Here is a 20,115-nt window from a genome sequence, read left to right on the forward strand (position 1 = left end):
TCTAGGGAAAATGGTATATATGTAAAAATAACACATACATGTTCTCTCTAGGGAGAAAATAACAGTGTCACTTAAAAAGTAAAGTGTATTTCTTTAAAATTGCATGTTACATTGCTTTTACAAAGAGAAAACCAGTCTCTTCACTAAAGCAACCAGAAGATGCTTTTTATTTTTATTTATTTTTTTTTAGACAGAGTCTCTCTCTGTCACCAGGCTGGAGTGCAGTGGTGTGATCTTGGCTCACTGCAACCTCTGCCTCCTGGGTTCAAGCAATTCTCCTGCCTCAGCCTCCCGAGTAGTAGGGACTACAGGCGCCCGCCACCACGCCCGGCTAATTTTTGTATTTGTAGTAGAGACAAGGTTTCACCCTGTTGGCCAGGATGGTCTAGATCTCTTGACCTCATCATCCACCCACCTCAGCCTCCCAAAGTGCTGGGATTACAGGCGTGAGCCACCATGCCCAGCCAGGAGATGCATTTTTATTTTCACTGTCTTGTGAAGAAACCATGAGAAACAATCTGCCACTAATACAATTGAGGGAAATTGAGCCACTTTAGTAACATCCAGAGAATAATAGTCATTCTGGAACCATGTATGCATGGGTGGGAGGTTGTGGGGAGCTGAAAACAACAGAAATTTATGCTCACAGTTCTTGAGGCCAGAAGTTCAGAATCAGTATGTCAGCAGGGCTATGTTCCCCTGAAGGCTTTGGGGGCAACTGCAGTGACCCCTGGAGTTCTTGGTTTGTGGCCACTCCACTCTCCACTGGAGCTGTTTTAATGCACTATTTAATTTAAAACCTTTGAATGAACATTGGTTGCTTCTAATCAATAACATTTTAGAAATTTTATACTGATTCAAAGGCTTTAAAATGTTGAATACGTGTAAAATAATTGAGTCTCTGTTCACAAATAAGTATGTATGTATGTGGCAAGAGAGTTGGTAGGTTTTGTTTGTTTGTTTGAGATGGAGTCTTACTCTCTCAACTAGGCGGTGGTGTCATCTCAGCTCACTGCAACCTCTGCCTGCTGGGCTCAAGCAGCCCTCCCACCTCAGCCTCCAGAGTAGCTGGGATCACAGCGCACACCACCATGCCTGGCTAATTTTTTTTTTTTTTTTTTTTTTTGTATTTTTGGTAGAGACGGGGTTTCACCGTGTTGCCCAGGCTGGAAGTTTGAAATCAATTATTTTTATGTTTGCTGTCTGAAATTCATTCTTTCTCTGTTGTTTGACACATACATAAGCCTGCAGGTACCCAAATTTGTTCCAAAAAAAAAAAAATTTCCCTGAGGCTGTGAGGAGAGAGTCAAGGAAGAGGTTTTTATTGATGTTATTTATCAAACAACTCTTACACTGTACACTAAGATTTTATAATAACTGCAGACATATACAATGAAAAGGGAGAATTGGCACCAATATTGAATCTTCCCATCCAAGAATATGGTATGTCACTCTTTTTTAAGGTTTTTAAAAATATATTGTATTATGGTTTTATAGTTTGTAAATCTTGACCCATTTTGTGCCTCCATAGTCTGTAGTTTGAGGGGCTGCTATGACCGGCATCTTGAGTGGGGAATGTGTGTTTAAAGCATTCATGCTGGAAACTGGGAAAATGGAGATGCCCTGTGACCAGTCATCTCGCCAGATGCCGGCATTAACTCTTGTAGTTTTTGAGTTGAGTCTTGAATCTGGGAGTCTAGGAAATCACGGTATCTTCTACAAATAATGATAGGTTTATCTCATCTTTTCCAGCATTTGTCCCCTTTTTTTGGCTTCCACTAGGACCTTCAGACCAGTGTGAATAAGAGCATTGATACTGGCACCCTTGTCCAGTCCTGGCTTCGAGGGGCTGCTGTGAGTGTTTCACCATGAAGTTTGATGCTTGCCATACAGACTTTTGATACTTTCTAGCAAATTAAAGAAGTTTACCTTTATTTCTAGTTGATTTAGGCTATCATTTAAAAAATAAAACAGGAAGATGTCAAAATTGATGGTATGATTTTTCTTATATCAATTTCTGTATGAGTTAAGAGTTTAGGTTACCTAATTTTGAGACATTCTTGCGTTCCTGGGATGAAACCCTAGTAGATCATGATATGTCATTCTTTATTCCATTATTAAATTTATTAGCTGATATTTGATTTAGGACGTGTGTGTGTGTGCGTGTGCGCCTGTGTGTGTGTGTGTGTGTATTCGGACAGCTATATAAAATTATTTTTAGAGACAGGGTTTCACACTGCTGGCCAGGCTGGAGTGCAATGACAAGATATTAGTTCTCTGCAGCCTCGAACTCCTGGGCTCAAGCTCTCCTCCCACTTCAGCCTCCTGAGTAGCTAGGACCATAGGCACATGCCAGTGTGCCAGCTAAGTTTTGGCTTGGTGCAGTGGCTCACAGCTGTAATCCCAGCACTTTGGGAGGCCAAAGCAGAAGGATCGCTTGAGCCCAGGAGTTTGAGGCCAACCTGGGCAACATAGGGAGAACCCCATCTCTACAAGGAAAAAAAAATTAGCCAGGTGTGGTGGTGTGTGCCTGTGGTCCTAGCTACTTGGGAGGCTGAGGTGGGAGGATCATAGGCCCAGGAGGTTGAGGCTACAGTAAGTTGTGATCATACCACTGTAGTCCAGCCTTGGTGACAGAGCAAGAGACCTTGTCTCAAAGATAATTTTATTTACAAACAAATGAAATTTTTTGTAGCGGTGGGGGTCTTGCCTTGTTACCTAGACTGTTCTCAAATTCCTGGCCTCAAGTGATCCTCCTGCTTTGGCCTACCAAAGTGCTGGGATTACAGGTGTGAGCCACTGCATCCAGCCAGGACTTTTATATCTATATTCTGAGGTATAATTGAGTTGTCTTGGTCTTTGAGGTCTTACTTGTTTTGTATAAAGGTTGTGCTAGCTTCATAGAATGAATTGAGAAACTCTGTGTTTTTGCAATTTTCAGGAATAGTTTAAATTTTCTGTCCCATGAAGGGTTTGATAGAACCTACCGTAAAACTTTGGGGCCTAATTCATTTTTACAGGGAAGAAGAACAAGAACTATAGATCTTGTCTGCCTTTTTCATTTATATGACATTTATTAGTGTATTTCAGGTTTCCTTCTCCCTCGAGTCAGTTTTACAAATAGAATTTGGCTCAAGAAGTTATCCATATCGTTTAGTAAAGGGTTGTAAACTCACACCTGCAGGGCTAGGGAAAGTCACGGAAATGGATGATACAGGGTAGAGCGGCCCCAGCGTTCCTGTGGTGCTCATGGCCGTCACCACCCTCACCTTGAAAGTGCCCTCAGTTGGGATAGGCCCTAGTGGAGCCTGGGGCATGGGTAGCGAAGGCCACACCTGTGTGTGCGTGCGTGTGTCCTCCTGTTCTCTGTTAGGGGCAGTCCCCACTTGGGTCCAACAGTCTTCACAGGGCCACCAGAGCTGCCAGGTTGTCAAGAGAAGCCAGAAATCTGGATTATTAGGTGAAATCTCGAACACTTTTAAAAAGAGGTGAAGTGCAAGTCGGACAAAATAGCCCATGAGCCCCTTGTTTGTAACTCTTCTTTAGATGTTACAAAGTATCAACTTATAAAGAGACTTTGTCTCACAGTTTAAAAACAATCTTCTGGCCAGGCGGGCACAGTGGCTCACGCTTATAATCCCAGCACTTTGGGAGGCCGAGGCAGGTGGATCACTTGAGGCCAGGAGTTCCAGACCAGCCTGGCCAACATGGTGAAACACCGTCTCTAGTAAAAATAGAAAAATGAGCTGGGCGTGGTGGCGGGCACCTATAATCCCAGCTAACTCAGGAGGCTGAAGCACAAGAATCGCTTGAACCCAGGAGGCAGAGGTTGCATTGAGCCGAGATTGTGCCACTGCACTCCAGCTTGGGTGATATAGCGAGACTCAGTCTCAAAAACAAAACAAAACAATCTTCATATGTACCCATATCCTTTCTCAATCCTGATTTTTTTTTAATGTTACCTTTTTCCCCCTTTTTCAGCCTTGACAGAAGCTTACAGAACCGACTTTCGGTTTTATTAATCACATATGCTTCTCTGTTTCCTCAGTAATTTCTCTTTTTGCCTTTAACTCCTAACTTCTTTGTTAGTTTTGTTTTGCTTTGCTTTTTAAGTCTCATATGCCTGTTAATAGCTCTTCCTTTCCTGTAGTCTGAGCTCTTCGTGTGGCAGGACCGAGTTGCCATCATCTTGCTTATTTCTAACACATTCAGGGCACATAATGGGCATTCAGTAAATAGTGAATGTTCATCCACTGTATTGACAGATTTAGTCAGAATATCTTGATTTCTCTTTTTACTGTTTATTCATCTCTGTCTTTCATGTGAGAAAAGTACTTGTGATGAGTTTGAGTAAAATAAAGAAATACCTGTTAACATATTTGTAGTATTGTATCTTTATTCTGTTTGCAGATGATGTTTCTCTCATATATATCATTTTAAGAAAGTCTCCTCTTGAAAATGTCTTGTATAATTGTCGCAGGTATTAAAGTTTTTCTTTTTTTTCTGTTTTTTACATCCCCTTACTAGATGACAATGAAAACCAAGCAGCGCATGTTAACAGAAGACTGGGAGCTTTTTAAACAAAGAAGATTCATTGAAGAACAGGTAAGCTTGTCAATAAGAGAGGCAATTAAAGGAAGTAGAAATCTGTCCTGACAGCAAATGACTTCTCTGCATGTTGATGTGCTTTGTTAGAACAGCATTGGAGGACCACATTGGCATGTTTTGCCAGCGTTAAAAACTGTTCAAGATGGTGTTTTTAATCTCAAGATAAACTAATTTTCACCTATTTCCTTATCTTCCATATACGCCTCAAGAAAAACCCATGTGTATTGAGTGGCCTCTCTATCCCACAGCAGCTCTGGGTATTTTGCAAAGGATATTACCTGAGTCCCCACAGTCCCCTATGAGGCAGATGGTGCCATCTGCAGTTTACATATGAAGGAGGGTGTTAGGGTGAGGTTAAGGATGTTGCCTGATGTCCCAGAGCTGGAATGGGGGCCCAGCATCCCCAGACAGAGCGCTCAGATCTCCAGACATTGCCAGGTGCCATGCCTTCAACATGGCAGCTGGCAGATCTGGACTCTCCCTTCCTCATCTTCCTGGCGGTGCCTCCTCCAGGCAGGCTTGTGCTCCACCTTTGCTGGAGCTGTTGGGCAGAGCTTGCTAGTGATGTCCTGTATCTGGTCTGGGGGCCCTTGGCTTCATCTGGAAACTTGGCTTCCCCTGATCTCCCATCCACGTGCCACATCGACTCTCTTCCTGTTCTCTGACACTTCTCTCCATCTCCTTTACGAACTCCAACTTCATTGGTCTTTCTGCAAATATTGGTGGTTCCCTGGCCTTGACCCCATGCCTGTCTCCACATTTGCATGCCCGTGGTCTCCTCTGGGCACCACAGGTATACAGATGGCACCAGTGTTGTGGCATGCTTACCTCTTCCCTTTCCCCATTCTGCATGTGTCCCTGTGCTTTTGTTGTTGTTGTTGTTTTGAGACAAAGTCTCACTCTGTCGTCCAGGCTGAAGTGCAGTGGCGTGAACTCGGCTCACTGCAACCTCTGCCTCCCGGGTTCAAGCGGTACTCGTGTCTCAGCCTCCTGAGTAGCTGGGATTACAGGTGCCAGCCACCACGCCTGGCTAATTTTTGTATTTTTAGTAGAGATGGGGTTTCACCATGTTGGCCAGGCTGGTCTCAAACTCCTGACCTCAGGTGATCCGCCTGCCTCTGCCTCCCAAGGTGCTGGGATTACAGGCGTGAGCCACCTTTCCCGGCCATCCCGTCCTTTTGAGTGGCCCTTCCAGCTGCCACCTGTCCCATTGCCAGAGTGGGTCCAGAGTTCCTTCTCCTTTGAAATGCAGATGCTCACCTTGTCTGTTAGAAGTTGAGGTGCCATTTCCTCAATAGCTCCGAGGCCGACCCCTTGCCCTCCACGTGCCACTTTTCATTCCTACAGCTCTGTTCTCAGTACCTTGCAAGTACCAAGCACATGGCAGACAGGGTAAAGGCCGGGTTTCTGCATCAGGTGTGTGCTGTGAGGGCGCACTGCAGCATGTTTGCTGAAGACAAAAGCGATTAGGGTCTCCTGGTACCCGAGCCCTTTGCAGCTCAGCCCCCAGCTTGCTGCCGACTCCAGGTCTGCTGCCCCTGTATTCCTGGTCCTGTCCCGCTGAGGAAGCAGTGCCCGTGAACATGATACATGTCAGCAGAATTACTGAAAAATAATGAGCCATGTCTCGGGGAAGGGTCTTGCAAGATTAAAGCATTTTAAAATTTCCTCTAGTTAACCAATAAGAAAGCAGTTACTGGCGAGAACAACTTCACAGACACCATGAGGCACATGTTATCGTCCCGGCTGAGCATGCCCGACTGCCCCAACTGCAACTACAGGAGAAGGTAAGGCTGGGTTGTGGTGTCAGCACGACTGGCCCATTGGACCTTCACTGGGCTGAGTGGAGGCCTAGAACCGACCCTTAGAGAGCATGGTCTAGTCTTGTGCATTGGTTGGCTTGGTAACTGTCCTTAATTCCTGATCAGATGTGCTTGCGATGACTGCAGTCTCTCACACATCCTCACGTGTGGTATCATGGACCCCCCCGTCACTGATGACATCCACATTCACCAGCTCCCACTTCAAGTGGATCCTGCTCCTGACTATCTTGCTGAGAGGAGCCCGCCCAGTGTGTCATCTGCAAGCTCGGGGTCCGGCTCCAGCTCTCCCATCACAATTCAGCAGCACCCCAGGCTCATCCTCACAGACAGTGGCTCGGCACCAACTTTGTAAGTTGTGACTTTGTAATAAAGTTTCCGAAATTTAAGTCGCCCCAGTAATGAGAAATACATACAGTAATGTCCACAGAAGTATGAACATCATTATTGTGCTTTTCATGACAAGGGACCCTGAGGTTTTTAATGCAGCTTTTAAAACATGAAATCAGTAAACCCAAACTTTTAACACTGTTTATCTGGGAAAAAAAAAACATGGTAAATTAATAAAGGCCAGTAAAGAAAAAACATGTTGGTATGCAGAGAAGAAGTGTCTCTAATTCCGGCCTCACATCTCCTCATTCTCCTAAAGGGTGACCAGTCCGCCGTCTGTCCTGTCTCCCTGTCAGCCCAGCACTCATGCTTGTTTCATGTCTTGCTAAGAACTCAGGTGATCGCTTTAGCAAGCAGTTGAAGGTTTCTGTTTTTCATGTTCCCGCATGATTAGAAGTACATTGTTGTGCAGCTGTCACCAATTCACATTGTAGTTGGCTGTTCCCAGATTTCTTCAGAGTTGTGACCCTGTCATTTGGGGAGGCTTCACATGCTAATTTCCAAAAGGGTTGCACTTGATCATATGTAGTTGCCAAAGTCAGCTTAGGTTTAGTTTACGTGTATCGTAGAGCACACAGGCATCATGTTCCATGTGGAAGTGTGCAGTGGGAGAGATTGTTGTTCCTGACCTTGGCTATGCAGCGTTTCTGGGATTTCTCTGACCAACTGACTTGTGTTCATTCCTTCTGTCTGGATTTCTCATGGTGACTGACGTTTTCCTTCAGTCTTTCCATTTTCAATTTGGGCTTGTTCTCAGACAAAATAATTCTGAAAGGACTGGTTTAAACTCACTGACTCTCTTCATACAAAGATTGCAGGCTGCTGTTTATTGCCTTAGAGACACTGTGTACTCTCCAGGGCACAAGAAAGAGTGTTGACATTTTTGCAGCTGGCTGTTATCCAACTTCTTACTGAAACATAAAAATTAAACATATATAGCCTAATGAAAATTTAAGATGGAAAATTTCATCCCTGTTCATTTGTCACAGCTGCTGATGTCAGTTATGGTCTCTTGTGTCACGTGTGGTAGTGGAAGAAATTGGCTGTGGGAGCCTTTCTCCTTGGGCCGGAACTGCCCATCACCAGTTACGGGGAGCCTAGGTTCTCGGGACATCTGGGCCTTCAGCAGCTTGTGATCAATGTCTTCCAAATGTAAACTATGATTTGAAAATCTCCAGTGTTATCTTTTCATTTGTATTGTCTCTTTCTTGGTGCCTTTTCTAAGTTGGTTAAAAAGAACAATGTGATTGTAGTCAGTGTACCACACAGTACTTCCTGGATCTTATGGGTTGGATCTTTACGGAGCTAGGGCTGGTGAAGCCTCCTGCTGTCACATGGAGCAAATGGCTGAGTTACTTCACTAGAACCTCAGTTTTCTCATCTGTAAATTGTGCCTATGGTCATCCTCAGGAGTGTGTATGAGCATTGGCCCAGGCAGCGTCCCAGGTGCAGTGGGCCTGCAGGAAGCCCTAGGACTCTGCACCTTGTGGGTGCTGTTTGTACTTACCTCTGGTGAGCTCCAGACTCTAGCACGTTACTTGTAATGTGTTGAAAAGACACCGGAATTTGGTAGTCCTGGACACTCTTCACTCATTCTAGGAAGTGAGATCACGACGAGTTCCTAGGGTTTTGCCTTCTGGAGGTTGCTGTGTGCCCAGGCTGAAGATGGACTCAGTGCATGTTTTTGTGGACCTTGGAGCATCTTATTGCACTGAGCTTAAATGTGCCAGCTCTTTTAATGCACCAGAGCTGCATCTTAAGTGGTCTCTGTAGGCTAAAGCCTTGAAATCTGTTTAAAATTAATTTCAGGCCGGGTGCAGTGGCTGATGCCTGTAATCCCAGCACTTTGGGAGGCCGAGGCGGGCGGATCACGAGGTCAGGGGATTGAGACTATCCTGGCTAACACAGTGAAACCCCATCTCTACTAAAAATACAAAAAATCAGCCGGGCGTGGTGGCGGGTGCTTGTAGTCCCAGCTACTCGGGAGGCTGAGGCAGGGGAATGGCGTGAACCTGGGGGGTGGAGCTTGCAGTGAGCCGAGATTGTGCCACTGTACTCCAGCCTGGGAGACAGAGCAAGACACTGCCTCAAAAAAATAATAAAATAAAATAAAATTAATTTCAGTAAATTTTTCATTTGCCTGTTGCTTAGATGTCTTGCTAAAGCTGATATTTAATTACGATCATGAGTGACCAGGCCATGACTGGCCTTAAAGCAAAAAAAATTAGTCTTCTGTTACATAAGTGCCTTTAAAGTTTTGTTCAACTGACTATTTCTGAAAATTTCAGCCCTAAGTTGAAAAAGCAAACACTAAACAGCTAAGGTTTAAAAAGCAAACACTAAACACCTAAGGTTGCCATCGGTACCCCTTTAATTTTAATCACAAATTGTGTTGTCTTGGGAGTAGCAGAGAGACTAGTTTTATACCAGCGCTCTTCAGGTCAAATGGAAACGTTAATCAGTCTGGTTAAATTTTTGTAGTTTCCTTAATATTTCTACTTTTGGAGGTTTTTCTGTTTGTTTTTTGTTTTTTACTCTTCCAAATGGCACAAATGTTAATCTTCCAAGCATTTTTCTCATGTTGAGGTTACTAAGAAATGTTAGTGGTAGGAATGATACTTAACTAATACTCTTTGTAAATGAAAGCCGTGATCTGTCCAGGAAATATCTGTGCTTAGTGGCTGGTTTACTCATTGTCTTTCACAATTGAATGACCTCACAGTGACCATCTCTGCTTGTGTCAGTTGTAGTGATGATGAAGATGTTGCACCATTGTCAGCCAAATTTGCTGATATTTATCCATTGAGTAATTATGATGATACCGAGGTGGTGGCCAACATGAATGGAATCCACAGCGAATTGAATGGTGGCGGGGAAAACATGGCCCTGAAGGATGAGGTATGGACATGGCTTCTTCGTAGCAACAATAAATGACATAAAATGATGGTCTGACATTTTAATATTTTATATTACTCTGTTTTGAAAAGTGCAAATTACAAAAGATTGTCTTTAAAGTCTCCTCAGATAAGCAGTACCAGCAGTAGTTCCTCAGAAGCTGATGATGAAGAAGCGGACGGCGAGAGTAGTGGGGAGCCCCCAGGGGCCCCGAAGGAAGATGGAGTGCTGGGAAGCAGGAGCCCCAGGACAGAGGAGAGCAAAGCAGACAGTCCACCCCCATCCTACCCAACACAGCAGGTAGGACTTTGCTTGCTGTTTTGCCAAGGATCTCTTTTTCTGTGTGTATTTTCTCTAAACATGAGCATTACTGAATACAAAATTATTTTGTTTCCCATAATTTCTGAAGGTTAGAACTGAAGAGAGTCAAGGCATACTTACAATCTCCATTTGAATCTTGTTTTTCTTGCTCGAATATCAATCTTGATTTCGCAACACCCCATAGCAGCTCTGTGGAGGCCTTTTTTGTCTGTATAGAAGCAAAGAGAGGAGTTAAAAAAAAATAGTGGAATATTAAAATTTCAGGAAAGGTTTGTTTTTCCTGTTCATTATCTGTTCTTCTGTTAGCCAAAGGTGAGGGTACCTTATTAGCTTTTTTTCTCAGAATTTCATAAATAGATGCTTAAACAAGTTTTTGGCCGGGCGCAGTGGCTCACGCCTGTAATCCCAGCACTTTGGGAGGCCAAGGTGGGTGGATCAGTTGAGGCCAGGAATCCAAGACCAGGCTGGCCAACATGGCAAAACCCCGTCTCTACTAAAAATACAAAAATTAGCTGGGCATGGTGGTGGGCACCTATAATCCCAGCTACTTGGGAGGCTGAGGCACAAGAATTGCTTGAACCTGGGAGGCAGAGGTTGCAGTGAGCCAAGATTGCGCCACTGCACTTCAGCCTGGGCGACAAAGCAAGACTCTGTTTAAAAAATAATAATAACAACAATAATAATAAGCAGTCTTTAAATGAAAGAACAAATGAAGGTCAAAGTGCTTGGCTGATTTATTTTATTAGGTAATATAAATGTAACACTCAGATGGTAAAGGTGATGTTGAAAGGTCTATCTGGGAAGTCTGACCACATCTCCTTACCAGTTTTTTCTTCTACGTATAATGTTTTTGATGTCTTATCCAAGAAAACTTTGCCTAACACAAAACTGTTTTCTTTTAGAAGATTTATAATTTTAGTTCTTAGATTCTGTTTGACTCAGCATTTAGTTATTGTGAGGTGAGGATATAAATTCACCTTTTCTGCATATATAGATATCCAATTGTTTCAGTACGGTTTGTCAGAAGTACCCTATTGAATTGCCTTGGCCATTTATTGAAAATTTATTGAAAATCAATGGACTGTAAATGTAAGAGTTTATATTTGGACATTCCATTCTGTTCATTTGATCTCTGTGTCTGTCCTTACACCCATAGTGCATTTGACAATTGCTTTATGGTAAGTTTAGGAAAATGGGATAGGGTCTTCCCTCCAGCTTGGTACACCTTTCTCTCTCTCTATTTTCTTTCTTTTTTTTTTTTTTTTTTTTTTTTTTGAGATGGAGTCTCCCTCTGTCACCCAGGCTGGAGTGCAGTGGCGCGATCTCGCCTCACTGCAACCTCTCCCTTTCGGGTTCAAGCAATTCTGCCTCAGCCTCCCAAGTATCTGGGACTACAGGTGCACGCCACCACGCCCGGCTAATTTTTTGTATTTTTAGTAGAGACGGGGTTTCACTATATTGGCCAGGCTGGTCTCGAACTCCTGACCTTGTGATCCGCCCGTGTTGGCCTCCCAAAGTCCTGGGATTACAAGCGTGAGCCACTGCACCCGGCTGGTACACCCTTTTCAAAATCGTTTATGCTGCTCAAAGTTCTTTGCATTCCCATATAAATTTTAGGATCTACTTGTCAACTACAAAACGCCTCCTTGGATCTTGAGGGATTGCATCGAATTCTTGAATATATATTTAGAATTCTCCAGTGAAATCCTCTGGATGTGGTTGTGGTCTTTTATTTGTGGGATGATATAGATCAATTTAGGGAGAATGCAATCCTAACAAAATTGAGTCTTCTAATCTGTGAATATGCTTTATCTTTCCATTTATTTAAGTCATCTTTAATTTTTCTCAGTAGTTCTAAAAAAATTCCAGTCTTTGTGTCTGGAATATATAAGTATTATGTGTTTTCATTCACAGTAAAAGGTATTTTCTAATTTTGATTTCCAATTGATCATTGGTAATACATAGAAATACAATTGATTTTTTTATATTGGTCTTGTGTTCTGCAGCTTTACTAAACTTGTTTATTCTAGTAGGGTTGGTTCTAGTAGGTCCTTTTGCTGTTGTTTTGGTAGATTACTTTGGATTTTCTATATACAAGATCATGTTGTCTGCAAATAAAGTTTTAGTTCTTCCTTTCCAATCTGGATGCAATGCTTTTAATCTTCCCTTCCCTTTCCCTTCTCTTTTCTTTTTCTTTCCTTCCTTTCTTCTTTTTAAGAAACAGAATCTCACTCTGTCACCCAGGCTGGAGTGCACTGCTGCAGTCATGGCTCACTGCAGCCTCAAACAGCTGGGCTCAAGCAGTCTTGCTGCCTCAGCCTCCCAGGTAGCTAGGACTACAGGTGTATTACAACTACAGGCATGCGCCACCACGCCCAGCTTTAAAAAAAAACTTTCTGTAGAGAGAGGGTCTCACTATGTTGCCCAGGCTGGTCTTGAACTTCTGGCCTCAAGCCATCCTCCCATTTCAGCCTCCCAAAGTTTTAGGAGTATAGGTGTGAGGCACCATACCCAGTCTGGATGCTTTTAATTTCAGTTTCTTTTTCTTTTTTTTTGAGACGGAGTCTCGCTCTGTTGCCCAGGCTGGTGTGCAGTGGTGCTATCTCGGCTCACGGCAAGCTCTGCCTCCCAGGTTCATGCCATTCTCCTGACTCAGCCTCCCGAGTGCTTTTAATTCCTTACTCTTGCCTTATTGAGCTAGCTGGAAACTCAGTACAGAATAGAATTGTTGCAAGCAGATATCTTTGCCTTGTTCCCAATCTTAGGGGGAAAGCATTTAATCTTTGACCACTCTTTAAATGTGATATCAAGTATAGGTTTTTCATAGATGCCCTTTATTGGGTTAAGGAAATTCTATTCTACTCCTAATTTCTTGAGTTTTTTCATGATTTGAATATTGAATTGTATTGAATATTGAATTGTTCAGTTTTTCAAATGTCTTTTCTGCATGTGTTGCGATCTTGTGGTTTTCGTTTTTTATTTTGTTACCGTGGTGTGTCACATCAGTTGATTTAAGGATATTAAATCAACCTGTGTTCCTGGGATAACTCCCACTTGGCGGTGGTATATAATCCTTTTCATGTGTTCCTGAGTTGGTTTGCTAATATTTTGTTAGGATTTTTGCATCTGTGTTAATACTAATAAAATATATTGGTCTGTAGTTTCCTATCTTTGTGATGTCTTTGTCTGACTTTGGTATCAGAGTAATACTGGCTTCATAGGATGAGTTAGGAAATGTTTTTTTCACTTATGTTTTCTGAAGGAGTTTGTTTAAGATTGAGATTTATTAAATATTTGATAGAATTCACCAGCAAAATCCTGTAGGCCTGGTCTCTTTTTGTGGGAAGATCTGTAATTACTAATTCAAGTTTCATTTGCTTGTAATAGGTCTTTTCAAATTTCCTATTTCTTACTGAGTGAATTTCAATAATTTTTGTCTTTGTAGGAATTTACTCATTTAAATTGTCTAATGTGTTGGCATAAAGTTATTCTATACTGTTATAATCCTTTTTAATTCTGCAGTGCCTGCAGTGATGCTAATTCTTGATTTGGGTAATTTTATCTTCCTTTTAACGGCTTCAGTCACTTGGGCTAAAGATTTGTCAATTTCTCTGTTTTCGTTTCTGTGTCATTGGTTTCCATTCTGAAATTGATTATTTCTTTCTATGTTCTTTGGGTTTTGCTTGCTCTTCCTTTTCTAGTTTGTTGAAACAAAAGCTTAGATGACTGATTTTAGAGCTTCCAAATTTATTGAGACTTGTTGATGGCCTAACATATAGTTTACCTAGATCCTGTTCTATGTGTACTTGAAAATAATTTGAACTTTGTTCTTGTTGTGTGGAGTGTTCAAGAAATGAAAGTTTGATCAAATTGGTTGATGGCATTCTTCAAGTCTTCTGTATTGTCTTGGTCTATCCAGGCTACCATGTAAGGACAGTAACCCCATTCCTGAGAGTAGAGCCTTCCAAAGTCCTTATCGCCTAATACCATCACTTTGGAGGTTAGGCTATCAACATATGAATTTTGGAGGGGCACAGATACTCAGATCATAGTATATATTCTTACTGATTATCTGTCTGGTGGTTTTATCGGTTACTGAGAGAGGCATATTGAAGCCTTCAAGTTTAACTGTTGGATTATTTCCTTCTCCTTTCAATTCTTCCTTGTTTTGGTTCATGCATTTGGGGGTGATGTTATTGAATTATTGTTATAGCTCCCCTGATATATTGCCCCTTTTATCATTATGAAATGTTTGACTACTGGTGTTTCTTAACGTCCGTTTTATTTGTTAGTATAGCCACTCCACCTTCTTGGGTTACTGTGTACATGTATTTTTTCATCCTTTTACTTTCAGTTTCTTTGTGTCTTTGAATCTAAAATTTGTCTAACATCTTTTAGTTGGGCCTTGCATTTTTATCCTGTATATGTCAGTATCTGCCTTTTTAAATATTAAACAAAAATTTTAGTGTACTATTTTAATTCTTCTGTTGATTCTTTTTTTAATTTTCTTAGTGGCTGCTGTAGGGTTACAGTATGCATCTCTTGTGAATGTCGTTATAAAAAATAAAAAGAAACAAAAATTAAAATACAATATGTATCTCTTTTTTTCTTAGAGACAGGGTCTTGCTCTGTTACACAAGCTGGAGTGGGGTGGCATCATCATGCCTCACTGCAACCTCAAGCTCCTGGGCTCAAGCAGTCTTCCTGCCTCAGCCTCCTTAGTAAGCTGGGACTATAGGCATGTGCCGCCATGACCGGCTAAGTTTTTTAATTTTAGTAGAGACAAGGTCTCCCTGTGTTGCCCAAGTTTGTCTCAAACTCCTGGCCTTCAGTGATTCTCCCGCCAGGAAATCCCAAAGTGCTAAGATTACACTTAACCAGTGTACCCAGCCACAATATGCATCTTTTTTTTTTTTTTTTTTGATACAGAGTCTCGCTCTGTCACCCAGGCTGGAGTGCAGTGGCGCAATCTTGGCTCACTGCAACCTCTGCTTCCCAGGTTCAAGTGATTCTCCTGCCTCAGCCTCCCAAGTAGCTGGGATTACAGATGCGCACCACCACGCCCATCTAATTTTTGTATTTTTAGTAGAGACAATGTTTTGCCACTTTGGCCAGGCTGGTCTCTAACTGGCCTCAAGTGATCCACCTACCTCAGCCTCCCAAAGTGCTGAGATTACAGGTGTGAGCCACCACGCCCGCCCACAATATGCATCTTAATTTATCACAATCTACTCCAGATTACTACTGACTTAATTCCAGTAAAATATACAAACTTTGCTCCGCAGGAGCTCCATTTCCTTCTTTCTCCTTTGTACTATTATTGTCCTATATATAATTACATTTGTATATGTTACAAACCAATAATATGTTTTAATTACTGCTTTATACAGCTTTATAATTTCTAGAGCAAATAAAAGAGAAAAATGTATTTATACAGTGCCTGCCTGCCTGCCTTCTTTTCTTTCTTTTCCTTTTCCTCTCTCTCTCTTTCTCTCTCTCTCTCTTTCTCTTTTCCTTTTCCTTTTCTTTTCCTTTTTCTTTTCCTTTTTTTGAGACAGAGTCACACTCTGTTGTCCAGGCTAGAGTGCAGTGGCACAATTTTGGCTCACTTCAACCTCCACCTCCCAGGTTCAAGCAGTTCTCCTGCCTCAGCCACCTGAGTAGCTGGGATCACAGGCAAGCACCATGGCACCCGGCTAATTTTTGTATTTTTGGTGGAGATGACATTTCGCCATGTTGGCCAGGCTGGTCTCAAACTCCTGACTTCAGGTGACCTACCCGCCTTGGCCTCCCAAAGTGCTGGGATTACAGGCATGAGCTACCACGCCTGGCCTGTATTTATACAGTGTTTTCTATTTGCTAGCTGGCTAGTCATTTCTGGCATTCTTCATTTTAAATTCTGCCGAATTTAAGTTACCGTCTTGTTTTTACCTTCCTTTAATATGTCTTACAGGACCAGTTTGCTAGCAGTTAATTCTGTTTTTGTGTAAATGTCTTTATTTTGCCTTCATTTTAAAAAATAGACCAGGCATGGGGGTGTCTCACGCCCAGCACTTTGGGAGGCAGAGGCGGGCAGATCACCTGAGGTCAGGAGTTCGAGACCAGCCTAGCCAACGTGGTGAAACCCCATCTCTTCTAAAAATACAAAAATTAGCCAGGCGTGCTATCATGTGCTTGTCATCCCAGCTACTTGGGAGGCTGAGGCATGAGAATTGCTTGAACCCGGGAGGCAGAGGTTGCAGTGAGACAAGATCGCGCCATTGCGCTCCAGCCTAGGCGAGAAGTGAGACTCCGTCTCAACAATAAATAAATAAATAATAAATAGAGTGGTTGTTTTTAGGAATAGCTTTAGACTCACAGCAAAGTTGAGTGAGAGCTACAGAGACACCCTATACCCAGGGTCCCCACACACAGCCTTCCCACTATCAAATTCCACACCAGAGTGTTACTCTTGTTACAGTCATCAGCTGTCAGACTGTTAGAACAAGCAGTCAGTTCTCCTGGCAGCCTGGCTTTCTCAAGAAGGTGTTTTAGTAGGGTCTGGGGTCATCCTAGGGACTTGGCCTTTGGCTGCAGGAAGCCTTAGGTGGTCATTGTGTGCCAGAGTTCTGCAGCTCTCAGTATCTCTTTGTTTTTATCCATCTTAAGGTTCACTGAGCTTCTTGGATCTGTAGACCAATGTTTCTCATCACATTTGGGAAGTGGAGTGTCCAGGTGTTATTTGGATGCTCTTCCCCCTTTCCTCTGGGACTTGGTTCTGCACATGCTGGAGTGCTGGCTGCTCTCCCACAGGCCTCTGAGCGTCTGCATACTTTCCCCTCATCTCTTCTCTCTCTTCCTAGATCAGTTCCATTGCTCTTCTTCAAGTTCACAGATGATTTTTCTGCCATTTTAAGTTTGCTTTTGAGCCCCTTTAGTGAAATTTTGGTTTAGCTATTGTACTCTTCACCTATAGAATTTATATTTTACTGTTTTTTTGTTTCTCTTTTTTTGTAGTAATTCCCTATATGTTGAATCTTTATTTTCATATTTTCCTTTAATTCTCTGAACATGTTATAACAGCTGCTTTGACATCTTTGTGTGCTAATTTAGTATCTGAACTCACTCCTGTTAACCGTTTGACTATTTATTTCCTGCATGTGGGTCACACTTTTTTTTTTCCAGACAAGGTCTTGCTCTGCCACCCAGGCTGAAGTGCAGTGGCATGATTACAGCTCACTGGAGCCTCGAGCCTGGACCTCCTGGGCTCAAACAATCCTCCCACCTCAGCCCCCCAAGTACTTGGGACTACAGGCACACACCACCATGCCTGGATAGTTTTTGTACTTTTTGTAGAGACAGGGTTTTGCCATGTTGCCCAGACTAGGCTTGAACTCTTGGGCTCAAGTGATCTTCCCACCTCTGCCTCCCAAAGTGTTGGGATTACAGGTGTGAGCCACTGCGCCCAGCCTAGGTCATACTTCTCTTTAATCTTTGCTTGTCTCATAATTTTTTGTTGAAAATTGGACATTTTAAATAATGTGATAATTTTGCATTATCATTTTTTCCCTTGAGGGTCCTTTGTTGTCTTTTGTTTGTTTCCTTGTTTTTGTTATTTCCTGGGCTTCAGTTGCAGGACCTGTATCTCCCACATTATGTGGCTGTGGGTGTCTCAGCTTACTTCTTCTCTTCTCCTTTTTAGTTTGGCTTCTAGAGGTCTGCCCTTTGTCCACCTGGCTGATTGGCCAGCTGATGATTTGGGCAGAGGTTGCCCATGCACCTTGAATCCACAGGGGCTCCATTGTTGGCTGTGGGGTGAATGCGCTCAGCACTCAGCCAGTTCTCAAGTCAGCTGTGTTGGCCCCTTCCTCCAGCCCGTGAGGTGTCCTCAGTGCATGCACTGTGCTCTCCTGGTCAGCCAGCGAGTTGTGGACAGCTTAAGAAGCCCTTCCGTGGCGCTCTCATTTCCAGGGTTCTCTCTGTTAGATTTCTGTCTCCTTTGCCACTCACCCCAGTTGGGACCTCAGTCTCAAGGGAACAGAGCTGCAGGCTTCCCTATTCATTCCCTTCTAAGTTCACTGCTTTTACTGCTTCACCCTCTGCCTGACCAGGCTGCTGTTTTTGGTAGCAGGGTTGGTTTGCGCTGACATCCCTGCAGTCACAGAACTCCTGTGCCCACTGCCGACCGAGTCAGGGGTGGAGTACAGGTGCAGGAAATGGAAAGAGTCCCAGACAAGAAAGCCAGACTTGCTGTTCTTCCTTGAAGTTCTAGCTGATTTGCATGAATAAATGTGTCGCGGTATTTTCCTTGGGCTGATTTCCAGAGCCTCAGAATGGTTGCCTTTGACAATTGTGTTCAGTTTTACATTTGCCCTGAGGGAAAGGAGCCACTGACCTCTTCACTCCACCGTAACCGGAAGTCGCGTCTCTGCTTTGTTTTGGAGAATCCATGTGTGACTACTTAGAAGCAGTGTGAGCCCAGTGGAGCACAGCCATCCCCTCTCTACTCTGTCGTCTTCACTAGTTCCCTTGTCCCTGCTCACATGTGGGAAGAGAGATTTTCTGCATAGGCATAGGATTCAGAACCAGTGGCTCTACCTGAGTCTGTCTGTGGAATGAGGTACACCTTTCTTCTCTGTGCGTCTTCTTCAGTCTCAGTCTCTTGGGGTCCCTCGTTTTCCTTGCATGGAAGGCCCTGGTCAACTCAGGGTGTCAGGAAAAGCCCACTTACCTTTGTATTTGCTTTGTAACTACTTGGCAGAATGTGACTGACTTTAATTCATACCATTTATTGTTTCACTAAATAGGTATGTTTTTTTTCTTTCCTCTTAGGCTGAACAAGCTCCAAACACTTGTGAATGTCATGTTTGTAAGCAGGAAGCTTCTGGACTGACACCATCTGCAATGACAGCCGGAGCCCTTCCTCCTGGCCATCAGTTCTTGAGCCCAGAGAAGCCCACACACCCTGCACTGCACCTTTACCCTCACATCCATGGACATGTGCCTTTGCACACTGTTCCACACCTGCCACGCCCTCTCATCCACCCCACCTTGTATGCAACGCCCCCCTTCACACACAGTAAGGTAAGTCAGGGCAAAAAGGGTCTGAAAGCTCACTCTTCACTGAGATCCTACAGGAGTACATAGTCAAACAAAGAAATCTGTGAATTAGCAACTTGCATAGGATAGCATCTGCTCTGGATAGGAAGGTCTCCAAGTGTTTCCTTTCACCATAATCTCTTAAGCACTGTAATTGTGAACCTTTACAGTTGTAACAATCATTAAAAACAACTGTGAAGGTCATAGTTCTTTTATTCAGAATTAAATAGAACAGAAGGATTTTTCAGGTGCTATTTCTAACAGGTTAAACCTAGGGAATATTTCCACAGGAGACCAGTAATCTACTTGTGATCTTCCAGGGCTTGCTCTTCTTCTTAATTTGATAGGTAAAATAATGTGAATACAACATGAGTCCTCTAACACTGGCTGGACTCTACAGGGTCTAAAATGTCTATGCTGCTTTAGCATTTAGAAATACACGAGCCTAAATAAAGGAAGAGCCCTAAGTGTGATGCCACAGAAAACTATAACGCCCTGCAGGTGATGGAGCACTGGGGAGGGGAGGGTACAGAAAGGAGAAGCTGCCAGAAACCCAGTGTGAAGAGCCCATTCAGGAAGTGGAGTGAGGATGTAGAAATAAGTTGATTTTTATGCATTTCTTCCCAGAGAACCTCATGTGTATACTTAGTATCTTAGACTTTACAGTGAAATTCTTAGGCTGGTTTCTTTCTTTGGACCTTAGATAGCTTTGCCTCTCTAGTTATTTTGAGCTTAACTTTACCAGAATGACTCACCGTAATTCTGATTGTTTTCTTTTTTTTCTTTGTACCAGTTATTCTTGTCCAAAGGTAGCTCTAATCAGTCAAAAATATAATTTATTTCAAACCCTAATTTATTATTTAAAACATTGCTTTTGAGCTGGAACAGAAAGGGAGGAGGACATGACATGGAATGATTTTTTCCAGACCACAGTTTTTCCAAACACATGTGTGTTTTCTCCCCTCTAGGGGTCACTGTGAAGTGGGGTACATGTAGCCCATAA

The 20,115-nt window shown here is 42.9% G+C and overlaps 1 protein-coding gene across 14 annotated transcripts in view, besides 3 other annotated features; it reads left to right on the top strand.

Annotated features, from left to right (window-relative positions):
- The window catches only part of FAM193A (family with sequence similarity 193 member A), a 197,199-nt gene that overhangs the window by 117,901 nt on the left and 59,183 nt on the right, over positions 1-20,115 (top strand). For 9 of the 14 annotated variants that reach the window (NR_046336.2, NR_046335.2, NM_001366316.2 and 6 more), the window contains 6 exons: positions 4,528-4,605; positions 6,283-6,395; positions 6,537-6,779; positions 9,563-9,716; positions 9,834-10,013; positions 18,846-19,097. Coding sequence is in view for 12 of the 14 variants with exons in the window: in NM_001366316.2 (NP_001353245.1) it covers positions 4,528-4,605; positions 6,283-6,395; positions 6,537-6,779; positions 9,563-9,716; positions 9,834-10,013; positions 18,846-19,097 (1,020 nt within the window). In the remaining 2 variants the exon portion in view is untranslated. Of the gene's footprint in view, positions 1-1,782; positions 1,855-4,527; positions 4,606-6,282; positions 6,396-6,536; positions 6,780-9,562; positions 9,717-9,833; positions 10,014-18,845; positions 19,098-20,115 lie in introns of all 14 variants that reach the window. The other 5 variants (XM_011513590.3, XM_006713932.4, XM_047416342.1 and 2 more) reach the window with 2 other exon arrangements.
- Positions 5,245-5,746: an enhancer, noted in NCBI's record as "H3K4me1 hESC enhancer chr4:2660247-2660748 (GRCh37/hg19 assembly coordinates)". NCBI's record gives its function as "activates a minimal SCP1, AML or CMV promoter by ChIP-STARR-seq in naive H9 embryonic stem cells {active_cell/tissue: H9 hESC(naive)}" and the evidence as "EXISTENCE:reporter gene assay evidence [ECO:0000049][PMID:30033119]".
- Positions 5,747-6,246: an enhancer, noted in NCBI's record as "H3K4me1 hESC enhancer chr4:2660749-2661248 (GRCh37/hg19 assembly coordinates)". NCBI's record gives its function as "activates a minimal SCP1, AML or CMV promoter by ChIP-STARR-seq in naive H9 embryonic stem cells {active_cell/tissue: H9 hESC(naive)}" and the evidence as "EXISTENCE:reporter gene assay evidence [ECO:0000049][PMID:30033119]".
- Positions 17,933-18,477: an enhancer, noted in NCBI's record as "H3K27ac-H3K4me1 hESC enhancer chr4:2672935-2673479 (GRCh37/hg19 assembly coordinates)". NCBI's record gives its function as "activates a minimal SCP1, AML or CMV promoter by ChIP-STARR-seq in naive and primed H9 embryonic stem cells {active_cell/tissue: H9 hESC(naive and primed)}" and the evidence as "EXISTENCE:reporter gene assay evidence [ECO:0000049][PMID:30033119]".

Source organism: Homo sapiens, chromosome 4 (genome assembly GCF_000001405.40).
Source record: "Homo sapiens chromosome 4, GRCh38.p14 Primary Assembly".
In the NCBI taxonomy this organism is placed as follows: domain Eukaryota; kingdom Metazoa; phylum Chordata; class Mammalia; order Primates; family Hominidae; genus Homo; species Homo sapiens.